The sequence below is a fragment of the Homo sapiens genome, chromosome 15, assembly GCF_000001405.40.
Source record: "Homo sapiens chromosome 15, GRCh38.p14 Primary Assembly".
NCBI lineage: Eukaryota > Metazoa > Chordata > Mammalia > Primates > Hominidae > Homo > Homo sapiens.
In genome coordinates this window covers 24,781,045-24,796,361 of record NC_000015.10, presented here as the reverse complement: position 1 = coordinate 24,796,361, position 15,317 = coordinate 24,781,045, and positions in this window count along the sequence as shown.

The following is a 15,317-nucleotide window of genomic DNA, read 5'->3' as shown; positions in this document are numbered from 1 at the left end:
AAGACATACTCGAGACAGGGAAGAAAAAGGGGTTTAATTGGACTTACGGCTTCACATGGCTGAGGAGGCCTCAGAATCATGGTGGGAGGCAAAAGGCACATCTTACATGGTGGCAGTAAGAGAAAATGAGGAAGAAGCAAAAGTGGAAACCCATGATAAAACCATCAGATCTCGTGAGACTTATTCATTATCACAAGAATAGCACAGGAAAGACCGGCCCCCATGATTCAATTACCTCTCCCTGGGTCCCTTCCACAACACATGGGGATTCTGGGAGATGCAATTCCAGTTGAGATTTGGGTGGGGACACAGCCAAACCATATCAATGGCAGAACACACAATCTTCTCAAGCCTACATGAACCGCTCATCAAAAGAGAGACCACATTCTCCTCCATAAAACACACCTTAACAAATGTAAAAGAATAGAAATCATATAATATATAAACTCAGGTCAAAATAGAATTAAAATTGAAATTAATAAAGGGATGATAACTGGTAAAATACATGGATATTCAATAGCAGAGTTCTAACTATCACATGGGTCAAAGAAGGAATCTCAAGAGAAATTTAAAAATATATTTCGAACTAAATTTAAAGGAAAACACAACTTATCAAAATTCATGGGGTGCAATCAGGGAGCTTGGAGGGATATTATAGCCTCAAATATATATATTAGAAAAGAAGAAATCTGTCCAGGCACGGTGGCTCACACCTGTAATCCCAGCACTTTGGGAGGCCAAGGCTGGTGGATCACGAGGTCAGGAGTGTGAGACCAGCCTGGCCAGCATGGTGAAACCCCATCTCTACTAAAAATACAAAAATTAGCCGGGCGCCTGTAATCCCAGCTACTTGGGAGGCTGAGGCAGGAGAATGGCGTGAACCCGGGAGGCGGAGCTTGCAGTGAGCCGAGATCCCGCCACTGCACTCCAGCCTGGGGGACAGAGCGAGACTCCGCCTCAAAAAAAAAAAAAAAAAAAAAAAAAAAAAAATATATATATATATATATATATGTCATCAAAATTTTCACCTTAGAAACCTTTAAAGAAAAGTGTATCAAGTTAAATCCAAAGTAAACGGAAGAAAAATATAATATGCCAATATAGAGAAAACGAAATAAAGATAAAGCCTACTGGAATTTTTAAATGACTAGTGACAGCTTAATAGTTTATGGAGCATAAACGTGTCGAATGTTACCTAAGAAAATGCAATACCCCAAACTGAACGCTTGCTTAGGGTCATGCAGAGGTGATCCACTCTGAAATTAGGAGACACGAATCTATGATCAACCTAAGCATGCAAAGCGGGGCAAATTAATTTGGTTCCAAAGTTGGGAAATACGTTAATTATGAATAACCCACCAAAAATAAATTGAAGTATTGCTATGTATACAAAGAAAAGGGTGTGAGAAGAGAGTCAAAATACATGTGACACTCCAAGAAACATGAAATAATCATGAGATTTTGTAGGAAAATATCGAAGAACATGTGAGGGGACATGCAGGCACCGATTGATGGGTGAACATGTGCATGTCCTTGGAGAAAGTCCCATAAAGGCCTGCGCACCCCACCCACCCCCACCCTCTCTGCATTTCCCCTCCTGCAGTGCCTGTGTGCCTTGCATTGGGTTTCTTCTGGGGCCAGGTGTGGACCCCCTTATTTCCAGCTGCCTGTGACGTTGCTCTCACCCTGTAGTGTATTGATACCAGGCGGCCATGAGCCAGCCACTGTGAATTTTCAGATCCTTGGATCCCACCGACACCTGCAAAATGACTGAGCAGACAGGAACCTCTCTGTCCTTTCCACTCTCACTCCTCCTCAGCACCAACTCCTCCGGTCCCCTCTCCACAGTGGACAGGGACCATCCTCACATGTTCTGACTGTCTTACTGTCTTTTCTGATTGGATGACCTCATGGACTTGGGGGAATATTTTTTTGTTTGTTTTTGTTTTTTGAGATGGGGAGTCACGATCTGTCGCCTGGGCTGGAGTAGAGTGGCGTGATCTCGGCTCACTGCAAGCTCCGCCCTCCCGGGTTCACGCCATTCTCCTGCCTCAGCCTCCCAAGCAGCTGGGACCACAGGCGCCAGCCACGACGCCCGGCTAATTTTTTGTATTTTTAGTAGAGATGGGATTTCACTGTGTTAGCCAGGATGGTCTCGATCTCCTGACCTTGTGATCCGCCCGTCTCAGCCTCCCAAAGTGCTGGGATTACAGGCGTGAGCCACCGCACCCAGCATGGGAATATTTCAAAGAAGAAAACTGAGTCATTCAAATCCCTCCCCACAGAATGCAGTCCTCAGGAAGCGGCCCTCCCTCCCCTGCCCAGTCCCTCCGTGGTCTGCCCTTCTGCCTCCTCACATATTACTCATCCCAGCGGTCCTTCCAATCCACTGCTCTCTTCTTATGGCCTGGCCTGTGCCACGGACACACTGTTTCCTCTTCGCTTTCCTTCCCCTGTCTATTGTACTCACTGCTCCTCACTCTCCAGAATCTCTTCCAATGCTCCTCCTCCTGGAGGCCTCCCTTCTCCATCCCATCCCAGGTCTGATGCCTGTCCCCTGAGTTCTGAGGAGCTGATCTATCATCTACAGTTTAGTTTCTGTTACATTTTCTGAATCACTACTTGACTGAAATATCAGAGAAAATGGAAACTTTTATCTGTGTTGTTCCTCTGTGAGCCCCTCACATGTGATAAACAAAAAGCAACACAGAACATTCTCCTTTATATTGAATCTCACAAATGAATTAATGGATCAGTCAAATGCTTAACTACATTCTTACCTAATTAACGATAAAGTACAACTCTCTTTCAATCTGAAATGACTTGAACTTGAAGATGAACCTGGTTCTTGTGCCCCTTTCTTTATTCAGGTCAGGATGTGAGCCCTGACTTACCCTCAGCCTCTTCTCCAGCCTCTCCATCCTCAATCCACTGCAGAGCCCCTCTCATGGGCCTGGTTGCTTGCTCCATCCTCCTCATCTGCCCCTCTTTTGTCCTTCTGGACAGTGTTGCCTTCGTAGAAACCGAGGAAAATTGTCTTGTTCTCCAAGATTCACCTCTATTAATATGACTTCCTTGATAAACATTTCCAAATTTTTGCTAGCTGCTGTATTTCACCATTTTTGCTATTTTTTTCTTTCAAATTTTATCACAGTAGTTGTTATCCTGGTGGCAGTCATTACTTGGTTTTCATTTTCATTGTTCATTTTCATTGTATATAGATGAATTTGTCCTGAACTTTTACATTGTCATCTTCTTGTAAGATCATGTGCATCAGAATTTGCATAATGGGTGTCAGCAGGAAAAGTGGAAATCACACAATGACGCAGCCTCTTTTATTAAAAAATGTTTCATTGCCTTTACTTTTGTGTGTGGGTGTGTTGAGACAGAGTCTTGCTCTGTCGCCCAGGCTGGAGTGCAGTGGCGTAACTTGGCTCACTGCAACCTCCGCCTCCCGGGTTCAAGCAATTCTCCTGCCTCAGCCTCCCGAGTAGCTGAGATTACAGGCATGCACCATCATGCCTGGCTAATTTTGTATTTTTAGTAGAGATGGGGTTTCACCATATTGGCCAGGCTGGTCTCGCACTCCTGACCTCGTGATCTGCCCACCTTGGCCTCCCAAAGTGCTGGGATTACAGGCGTGAGCCACCGTGCCCAGCCTGCCTTTACTCTTTAGGCCACAGAGGGTGATGTTAAAATATTCATAGCCCTGGATTAAAATCTGATTTGGAACCATCATAATCAGAATTTTAAGATATTTGCAAACCCATTTATAAATTAATTTCAATATTGCTTTCATTTTTATGTAAATAAAATTCAAGTTTCTATAGTTCTAGAGGGCGTTTTCCATTAGTGTAAAATAGGCCCTTATGTGTATAATACACTTTTCTGCTGCAAAGTATAATGCAATTTTCAATGACAGTCTGCTTATACAATGGTGGTTCCACAAGATTATTATGGAGCTTAAAAAAAGTACTTCCTAATGATGTTGTAGGCATTTGTCGTAGTAAAATTACTTTTTTTTTTTTTTTTTTTTGAGACAGAGTCTCACTGTATTACCCAGGCTGGAGGGCACTGGTGCAATCTTGGCTCATTGCAACCTCCACCTCCTGAGTTCAAGTGACTCTCATGCCTCAGCCTCAAGAGTAGCTGAGATTACAGTTGTGTGCTATGATGCCCGGCTAATTTTTTTTTTTTTTTTTTTTTTTTGTATTTTTGGTAGAGATGGGTTTTCGCCATGTTGGCCAGGCTGGTCTCGAATTCCTGGCCTCAAGTGATCTGGCTACCTGGGCCTCCCAAAATGCTGGAATTACAAGTGTGAGCCACTGCAACTGGCCAATTACTTTATTTTTAAAGTAAATTTAATGCAGCCCAAGTGTACAGTGTTTATATAGTTTACAGTAGTGTAAAGTATGCCATAGGCCCTCACTTTCCTACTCACTGACTGACCCAGAGGAACATCCAGTCTTGCAAACTTCGTTCATGATAAGTGCCCTATACAGGTGTACAATTTAAAAAATATATACTTTTTCTTTTTTTTGAGATGGAGTTTTGCTCTTGTTGCCCAGGCTGGAGTGCAATGGCGCGATCTCTGCTCACTGCAACCTCCACCTCCCAGGTTCAAGTGATTCTCCTGCCTCATCCTCCCGAGTAGCTGGGATTACAGGCATGCGCCACCATGCCCGGCTAAGATTGTATTTTTAGGGAAGACGGGGTTTCTCCATGTTGGTCAGGCTGGTCTCAAACTCCCAACCTCAGGTGATCCCCCCGCCTTGGCCTCCCAAAGTGCTGGAATTACAGGCATGAGCCACTGCGCCTGGCCATAAAAAAGATTTTGTACTATATTTTTTGCTGTGACTTTTCTAACATCTATGTATGTTTAGATATACAAATACTTACTTTGTTAGCGCTGCATACAGTATTAAGTATAGCAACATGCTACATACGTTTGTAGTCTGTGAGCAATAGGCTATACCATATAGCCTAAGTGTGTAGTAGATGGCACAACCTATTACAGTTTGCGTAAGTACACTGTATGATGGTCCCAGAATGATAAAACTGCCCAACAAACATTTATAAGAATGTATAATGTATCCTCTTCATTAAGTGAAACATGACTGTAGTTTAATCAACAGGGACATTATCCTTTCTTTTAGGTGCATCTTAAATATTTCATTCATTGACACACAGTGGCTGACACCCATCGAGACTCTTGCTGATACTGTGCAAGACCAATCTGACCTCCCCTCCCTTTAGTGTCACAAATGCCAGTTCAATTATCTTCATCTAAGCATTTCACTTTCATTATTTTTTCATCTTGGCAACTTGAGGCAAATAGTCAGGGATACAGTAATCACTGAGTAATTGCAGAAGGCAGGAATCAATTTTTTTTTTTTTTTGAGACAGAGTCTCACTTTGTCGCCAGGCTGGAGTGCAGTGGCACAATCTTGGCTCACTGCAATCTCCGCCTCCTGGGCTCAAGCAATTCTCCTGCCTCAGCCTCCTTAGTAGCTGTGATTACAAGCACGTGCCACCATGCCCAGCTAATTTTTGTATTTTTAGTAGAGACAGGGTTTCACCATGTTGGCCAGGATGGTCTCGATATCCTGACCTCGTGATCTGCCTGCCTCGGCCTCCCAAAGTGCTGGGATTATAGGTGTGAGCCACTGCACCCGGCCTGGAATCAAAATATTGTAGTAAAATTCATAGGGTTTAATACGCCTTAACAAATGCAAAAAAAGTGGACAAATTATGTGAACAATGGTTTGTGAGACACTGTGCATGAAGCAACGAAGGACAGTGATACCTGTGGGATATGAAATAGTGACATGAGACCTACTATCGCCTCAAGGTACTTCTTCAAGATAATTTCCTGCTGTGATGTGGCAAGGATGTTTGGAGACTTTTTGTGTTGATACGATTAAACTAGGGTCTGGAAAAACAAGTTTGCCTAATTTCACTGCAGTAGCAGTCCACAAGAAAAAAACAAAGACCCTTGAAAATACATTTGAATACACCTGGTCTTCCACCTGTTCATCTTATTAATGTCTGCAGAAAGAGGCAGTCACATGACACAACCATCTTGCAACAAGCCCATATGAAAAGTGAAACATTAGAATTGAAGGAAATGTGTATAAATAGGTTGAACCACCACATCTGGACCCAAATCTACATTTCGTACCATATGTTGTCATTTGTGGCTGACAAAGATTACATTTTTTAAAATGAATGCTCTCTGGCTTGCAATGGTTCGATTGAAGATATTTTGACTGTAGGACGGCAGAAAACCAATACACCTTGTATAGAAACCATATTTCAATTACCCACGTGACCACTCTGTTTTTCACAGATTTATTCACTAAATTACATGAACTATTTAACGCTTTCTTATATAATAGGTTTCATATTAGACAATTTTGACCCACTATAGGCTAATGTAAGTGTTCTGAATACGTTAAGGTAGGCTAGGCTGAGCTATGATGTTAGGTTAGTGAGGTGATTTAAATGCATTTTCAACTTATGATATTTTCAACTTTTGATGGGTTTACGCGAATGTCATCCCAAAGTAAGTTCAGAGAGCATCTATAATTTAAAGGGAGTTTTCTTTTTTGTGGGGAATAGGGGTCACTCTGTCACTCAGGCTGGAGTGCTGTGGTGCGATCATAGCTCACTGTAGCCTTGAAATCATGGGCTCAAGTCATCCTCCTTCCTCACCCTCCTGAGTAGCCAGGACTATAGGTTTGTGCCACGATGCCTAGCTAATTTTTAATTTTTTTCTGTAGGGATAAGGTCTCACTATATTGCCCAAGCTGGTCTTGGACTTCTGGCCTCGAGTGATCCACCTGCCTTGGTCTCCCAAACTGCTAGGATTAGACAGGTGAGCCATTGCGCTTGGCCGAGTTTTCTATTTATAAGAACAGAAAAAATTTCTCATGCAAACAAGGAAAAACTGTTATGTCTTATCTCCTCTCTTTGTTTCCCTAGAACACTTCCAGTTTCTTTCCAATTTAAGAATAATCTTGTGCCTGTCCTTCACTGCATAAATATCACAGTCTATACAATTTGCATGGAGCACTGGGTTACTCTTAATTTACAAGGAAATTAAGGTTAGGAGTGCCAGGTTATCAAATAGAGTAAAGATGAAGGGTACTGTAGATAAAACTAAAGTCTGCCCTTTAAATTCTCTGTGTAGAAGACTGAAACTAGAGTCCCTGCAACATTGCCTGGCAAATAAATGTCTATCTATTAATTCAGAATAAAAATATCCATAATGTATCAATACTCTTGGTCTCTTCATTTCTCACATCTCATAAATCTTGAACAATTGCCAACCATAATCATTTTAAAATCATTATATTGAGTCTTTTGTTACTTGTATAGCAGCCATTTGCTATTGAGTCTTGCAGACTCACCCTGCAGGAAGGCATCCTTCACTAGAGAATGTGTTCCTCTCAATACAATCCTGTTGGTATTTGCACAGTCCACATTTCAGGTGCTAAAGAAATCCCAGACTGCTTTCTGGAGCCCTGAATTGTTTCTTCAGATGGAAATCCCTGTTGAATCCGGGTTGAGGAATCCCATATTCACTACCCAGGACACTCAGCCATCGATTCACTCAGAGGAGTATCAAAGGTTCAGCTTGAAACAATAAACAACAACATAGAAGTGAAATAGAAAAGTGGGTAAAATATTGATTGAATCAAGGAAAATAAAATGTAAAAAACTTTAAGCATGAAAACCTTTTAAAAATATTTTGCTAGTTGATAATAGAAAATCAATAAAGTTTGTAGTTCTCTTCCTACAAGACGATAGTATCGAACTATATGCAGGCTGGAGATGGATGACAGCACCACCTGAGTGGTATTTTTATTTCAAGGCAAACCAGAAGCAATTTTTGGTAATCTCTCATCAAAGAGTAGGAAAAGGATACATATCTATATTATGGCTTATCTGTACAAAGACATGTATTCACAAAAACAAGTTGGAAGGCATCAAAGAAAAGACTTAGCCAATGTCTATAGCGTTTGTGTAAGACAAAAAGCAAACAATATGAGGACATTCTAACTTCCAGAGCAGCAAAGTGGCTTTCACTGCATTCAGAATAATAATCTCAGTGTTCTGTATACACAAATTAATTCCTTGTGTACCTTTCATAATTAGAACAAACTAAGCCATATAATGAAAACAATCGCAGCTCTTTTAAAGCATGTGATTCTGAGCAAATTTTGACTTGTGATTTTCAGAAAAGTCTCTATCCCTCTCCTTTTCAACCACAGGTATTTCAGAGCAAATTTCTGTGGAACACTAAAATAAATAATGTGTAACATTTATCTTTCCTAATAAAAGTGATATTTCCATTCAATTGGTAAAATGATACTTGAAAAGATGAAAATAATTAAAAGTATATTTAAAAAGTTATGAATACATTTTTAAATAAAGGAAAGAAAGGCATGAATAGAGAATGCAAAAATGTTAACTTGCTTTTAGATGATGTTTATGTGAGATTAAAAAAAGAAAACTGCAAACAAATGTTAAAGGTATTTTTATGCCAAAACAAACAAACAAACCCAAAACAAAAACAAGACTAAATATTACCAGGAAAGCTTGAAGTTGTAAAAGGTGTCCTTCATCAGCAAGCTGAATGAATGTCTGAACTCTAGAGACAAACACAGTCAACCTCAAGGTACTTCTTTTCCTGTAGGGCTTTAGGTCAGATTCAGTATCATGGGAGGGGTAATAGGCCTAACTCTTAAGATGTTGTGAGAATTGAATGAACTAATGATACATAACACTTGTAGACTAACGGCTGGTCAATACGCCAACCACAAAGTCAGTACTGCTAATACTGACAGTGTTTTCTATGTAAGTGAAAGGTGTATCATTTGCATCAATTGCATCAATTGTGAAATGCACCATTATTTTTTGTCACAATGAAAGAATAAAACCATTGACAAACTGTGACACAAATACTTCTTATGACTTAGAATATTTACCTCATAATTACTGATGATATCTCTTTTCAACTTATACAAATGTGGATATTTGTATTATATCATTCTTATTCAGGGAGATGAAAAATTATGCAAAATACATTAAGAAAAGTATTATTAAATTTCTTCCATTTGGATCAAACTCTTCTGAGTCACTTTTAATCTTATCTTGCCTGACTTTTCCCCCCTTATTGTCTGTGCTAATCAGAAGCATCTGGTGATGCTGCATTCCTTGTGAGATTCCTATGATACTTTTTGTGAGATTATCTTTCTAATCCACTGCTACTCTGCAAGTTTTGATGTTGATGATATTATTGGAAGCTGTCAAGGAAGCTTTTTAGACCAGATTCAGGTGACACATACAAAGACAACCACATAAAGTTTGTGTCGTGGCCAGCAGTGTTTTGATACGATGAACTTTTAGACGGATCTCTATTTGAAAGGTGTGAAAATGTGCATTTTAGCATTAGTGGATACACTATTTTTCTCTGTGACTGCTCATTTCTCAGTGGAATATTATGGTTGTTGATCTGCTGTAGTTTGTTCTTTTATTGAGGAAACATGCTCAAATATATTTTCATATAAATTAACCAAGTCCTTTTACCTTCTGCATGGTTCTTAGGGAGTTAATAGTGGATTACTGGAATTCCTATTTTATATGTTGCAAATTCTGATAATTTTACTTTGCCTCAGCATCTATTTTGTATAACACTTAACTGGCATATACCAGAAGCAGGACTCAGTCATCCTTGACACAGTTTCAAGTTCCTCAATTCCTCCCAGTTCCTGAAAGTTGTTGATACAGTTACATTGACTTGTCCCACAGAGTACACCTACTCCATGTGAACTGAGCAGATATGCAGCAGTAGCCCCCTGTCAGTCATAGTGTGACTCTGTGGAACTCATGCTTGTTTCCTGCAAACCCAGAAATTAGAACTCCCCATGAGAAACCTGCATGTGTAATGCAGTGGATCCCAATAAAGGCTTCAGCGACTGGGCTTCCCTCTGACTCTCTCTCTTTGCTCCCTACTGGCTTGTTGTGAGCCTGTGTCCAGGAAGGCTCCCCCTTCTCATTGGTCACGTAAGGCATGCTGACCTCTTCTCTCTGGGATGTGTAAAGAATGCACTGCTCATGCTATTTCATGTGTTTTGCTGAGTTGCCTCCTCTATGTCTTACCTGACGAACACACTTGAACCTAAGTGTTTTCCCAGCCAAAGCTCCCTGACAGCGTGGCGGCTTTGGCGTGGGTAAACCATACACAGATCACACAAGAACCACGAGGGAATCTTCCAATATAATCAAGTTTCCTGTGATAGGGACACCTGGTCACAGGTCAGATACTTATGCATTTGGCCACCTATGAAAAGTACATAGTACATATCCTGTGAAAAGTACATAGTAGATATCCATGACCAAATTGTATTAAGTCTCCTTTGGGCAGGGCTGGAGTTTATAGACACTGTCCAGAGGAATACCTTAAGATCAAACTAGAAATAACAAAAGTACAAAATATGTGGAGAAATAATTTTATAAGATACAATTCAGAAAAACTATTGAGAAGGAAGACAGGTATGGCATAGAGGTAGCTGAATGTTTGCACTAGACTGGCTGCTTTCTACAGACTTAGAAAAAACTGTACTTGAGAATTTCTGCCCTTATCTTAGAAATATGAACAATAGTCTCTGTAGGCTGCATTCCACATCCAATTCTTTAATCCAGAACAATTGAGTATTCATTTTTTTTCCTCCACTCCTCTTTCTAATCTCATGGATAGTGATCATAGAAATCACTCTTGATCAGTCACTGCAGAAGTAGATGTTTTGCGGCTTTCATAAAACTTGTTCTTTGGATTAATTGTTACTCTGGTCAACTCTCCTGTTAGCTACTTAAAAAAACGGAATGGGTTTTTGTGTTTCTTCATGAATATATTAAGTGAAGAAGAAGCGTAATTTATAATTTTGGATGTTGAGTGTGTTTGCAACTAGACTTTCAGGTTGTAGAGGTTCATTTAAGTTAATAGCATGTTTGGATGTCATACATATAAGCTATGTATTCATTGCACTCTAACTTCTATTCAGACTCTTGTGTGGAAACAGGGTGTTGGGTTCTTGCCTCATAATGTGCTCTTATTTGGGAAGTTTAAATGTTTACATTGACATCTTTCTGAGAAATCTGCTGGGCAGTCTAATCTCAGTGAAACCAGCTTACAAGTTGTTTAGGAGGTGATGCTTTCATAGTAATATTTGGGGTTTTGCTGCTTAGCACTGTGTCCTCTGTGCCTGTAATATCATGTTAGCACAATTTTTAGTCTCTCACCATGAGGCGTTAGAGCTCATCAACGTGCTTGCCATTTTTCAGTGGGTCACTCCTTGTGCACATCTACTGTGTATACTTAATGGACTGCCATTCTGACTTTTTTTGGTCAGTGTCAGCAGAAATTGGCTTAATCTATCAGGTATATAAAGTTATTATTTTTTTCACAGCCCACCCACGACCATGATGATATCTATTCTGTGGCTGTTGGAATTGTCATTTGGCACTATAATGTGATACTCTAACTTGTATTAACCTGAATCACTCCCTCTTAGTTGAGAAAGCGGAGGGACTCCTTTTGGCTCCTTCATTTGCAAGACAACAAGGGCTCCTTACCCACCCCCTTCCTCAAGGACTTAACTTCTGCCAGCTGACTCCCAGGACATCAAAAAATGCAAATAACTGATAAGATGCTATGGCAAGCTAGGTCCGCAGTTCCCAGGAATTTGTCCAGATGATAGCACCCTAAGCCCCTGTGTTCGTGTCTGGTTAGTAGCCCAGTGTCTATCACCTTGTGATGGATTTAAAGCCCCTGCACCTGGAACTGTTTGCTTTTCTGTAACCATTTGTCTTTTTAACTTTTTTGCCCGTTTTACTTCTGTAAGATTGCTACAGTTAAGCTCCCCGCTCTCCTTTCTAAACCAAAGTATAAAAGAAAATCAAGCCCCTTCTTCGGGGCCGAGAGAATTTCAAGCATTAGCTGTCTCTCGGTCGCCAGCTAATAAAGGACTCCTGAATTCATCTCAAAGTGTGGCATTTCTCTCTAACTTGCTTGGTTACAACAATAATTCCACAACGAAATCTCAGCAGAACACATGCTCCCAATAAATTCATGGTGGAGTCTATAGAATAAAATAACTTCATTATCACAGGGTTCTCTCAAAGTCTTGAAGGTATAGTTGTCATGTGAAAATTTAAAGAAGGATTCCTTGCACATGGAAACACTCTCCTAAATGCAGAAATATGACTTATGTTCCTTGTCATTGGTATCTCTCAATCTTTCCTTCTAATGTCCTGAATCCCTGCCTTCCAAAAAGGCTTTAGTGGGATCTTGTAGATAAACTATCTGACAACTTCTTAAAATGGGGTTTTCTGTGATATGTGAGACACAGGAAGCTTTCTTTGAAGAAGTGATTACTGACACTCAGGAAAGTGGTGACTATGTAATGGGAAGCCAGTGGGAAAAAAGAAAGAGGAGAAAAGTTCCTGGAGCTTGATGGTGTCTTTCTGAAGCAGATGCACCTGAATTTAGAATTGTGAATAGATAAGGAAGATGCTTTCCTATTCTCTCCCTATGTATATGACCATCATCCAATGAATCATCATTACCTGATGGAGGTTATTTGTTTATGTCTGTGTAGTTTTTTTTTGGTACCAAAACAACACTTTTAAAATAAGATTTTAATTGTGAAATGCTTAAAAAATATACAAGACTCAAACTACTTTGTTGGGAACAGACCCCCAAATCTGGCCATAAACTGGCCCCAAAACTGGCCATAAACAAAATCTCTGCAGCACTGTGACATGTTTGTGATGGCCATGATGCCCACGCTGAAGGTTGTGGGTTTACCGGGATGAGGGCAAGGAACACCTGGTCCACCCAGGGCGGAAAACCGCTTAAAGGCATTCCTAAATCACAAACAATGGCATGAGTGATCTGTGCCTTAAGGACATGTTCCTGCTGCAGATAACTAGCCAGACCCATCCCTTCCTTTTGGCCCATCCCTTTGTTTCCCATGGGGGAATACTTTTAGTAAATCTATAATCTATAGAAACAATGCTTATCACTGGCTTGCTGTCAATAAATATGTGGGTAAGTCTCTGTTCGGGGCTCTCAGCTCTGAAGGCTGTGAGACCCCTGATTTCCCACTCCACACCCTACATTTCTGTGTGTGTGTCTTTAATTCCTCTAGTGCCACAGGATTATGGTCTCCACGACCGAGCTGGTCTCAGCACTACTTAATTACAAGAGTATAAGTAACAACATAAAAAATGGGCAAAGGACTTCAAAATAAGACATACAACTGTCCAACAGACATATGAAAAAATTCTTCAACATTTGTAATCATCAGAGAAGTGTAAATTAAAATCATAATGAGATATTGGCTCACACCTGCTACTTTGGCTATTGTCAGGATGATGAAATATAACAAATGTTGGTGAGGAAATGAAAAAAGACAAACTTTGTACATTGTAGGTGGGAATGTCAATTAGTACAGATATTTTAGAAAATACTATGGAAGTGTCACAAGAAATTAAAAATAGAATTACTATATGATATAGCAATCTCTCTCCAGGGTATATGCCAAAAAAATTGGAATCACTATGTTGAAGAGATGTCTTTACTCTCATGTTCATTTCAGCATTATTTACATTAGCCAAGATTTGGAAACAATTTAAGAGCTCATTAATGGATAAATGGATTAACAAAAATGTGGTACATATACACAATGTGATACCATTCAGCCTTAAAAATATAGGAAATTCTGTCATTTGCAACAACTTGGATGAACCTACAGTACATTATGCTAGGTAAAATAGGCTAGACACAGAGGGACGATTACCATATGATCTCAATTATATGTGGAATCTTAGAAGTCAAACTCATAGAAGTGGAGAATCATATGGTGGTTACCACAGGTTGTTATGAAGGGGTGGTTGGGGAAGGAGAGACATTGGTCAAAGGGTTTGAAGTTTCTATTAGACAGGAGGAATAATGTCTGGTGATTTATTTCACAGCATGGTGAATATAGATAATAAGAATGTGTTGTATATTTCCCAAAACAGCTAAAAGAGATGATTTTAAATGTTCTCACCACAAAGAAATAATAAATATTTGAGGTAATGGATATGATGATTAGCCTAATTTGACCATTCCACAATGTATACATATAACAAAACACCACAATTAACCCCATGAGTAAGAGTACATACACTTATTATCTGACAATTAAAAATAACAATTAATTTTAGATTACTGAAAGGTATAAGGAGAATATAAAGAGTTTTGTATACCATTCAGCTTCTTGCAATCTTAACATCTTAAATAGCCATAACATATTTGTGAAAACAAATAAAATTGAATGTGGTAAAAACCATTAACTGAAATACAGACTGTCTTTATACTTTACCCGATTTTACATTAATGTCACTTTTTCTGTCAATGATTCATTCCAGATGCCACAGTACATTAACTGTCAGGTTTATTACTTATTTATTGCTGTATAACTCATTTATACAGCAAAGTGCCTCAAAACCACACACACACATATTACTCACTGTTTCTTTAGGGCATGAATCCTGGTGTAGATGATGTCTAGGCTGAAGTCTCAGCTGAAGGTTCAGCTGGGGAGGAATCATCTTCCAAGCTCACAGATTGTTGTTAGGATTCAATTACATGCCCAGGGTGAGATTACTTCACTAGTAAATTATACCAAAACTTTAAAGAATTTATAACAATCCTTCACTAACTCCTCTCCCAAGAGAAGAAGAAAACAAACAAAGGAACGAAAACCAAAAAGGAAAAAGAGAGCACTTCCCAATGCATTTTATGAAGTCAGTTAACCTGATACTACAACTGGAAAAAGACATTGTAAGAAAGGAAAATTAGAGACCAACATGCCTTATAAATACGAGAATCCTCAAGGAAAAACTATCAAAACACAAAAGCACCGTAGACAAAGGATATACACTATGACCAAGGGTATTTATTCCAGCATTGCAAGTTTGGATAAACATACAAAAACAATTAGTAAAATATACTATCTAAATAGTATAAAGAGTAAAAACACATGATCACTTAAGATGAAGAATAAGCATTTGACTAATTAAAACCCCATTTATGATTGGAGCATTTATGAAAACATTGAGCAAATGAAGCATAGAAGGGAACTTTGCCTATAAAGAGCATCAATTAAAAATTCACATAGAAACATACAATGTCATGGAAGCCTCAGTAATTTCTCCAGGATTAGAAATAAGACACTGAGGTCCACTCTTGCCACTTCTATTCA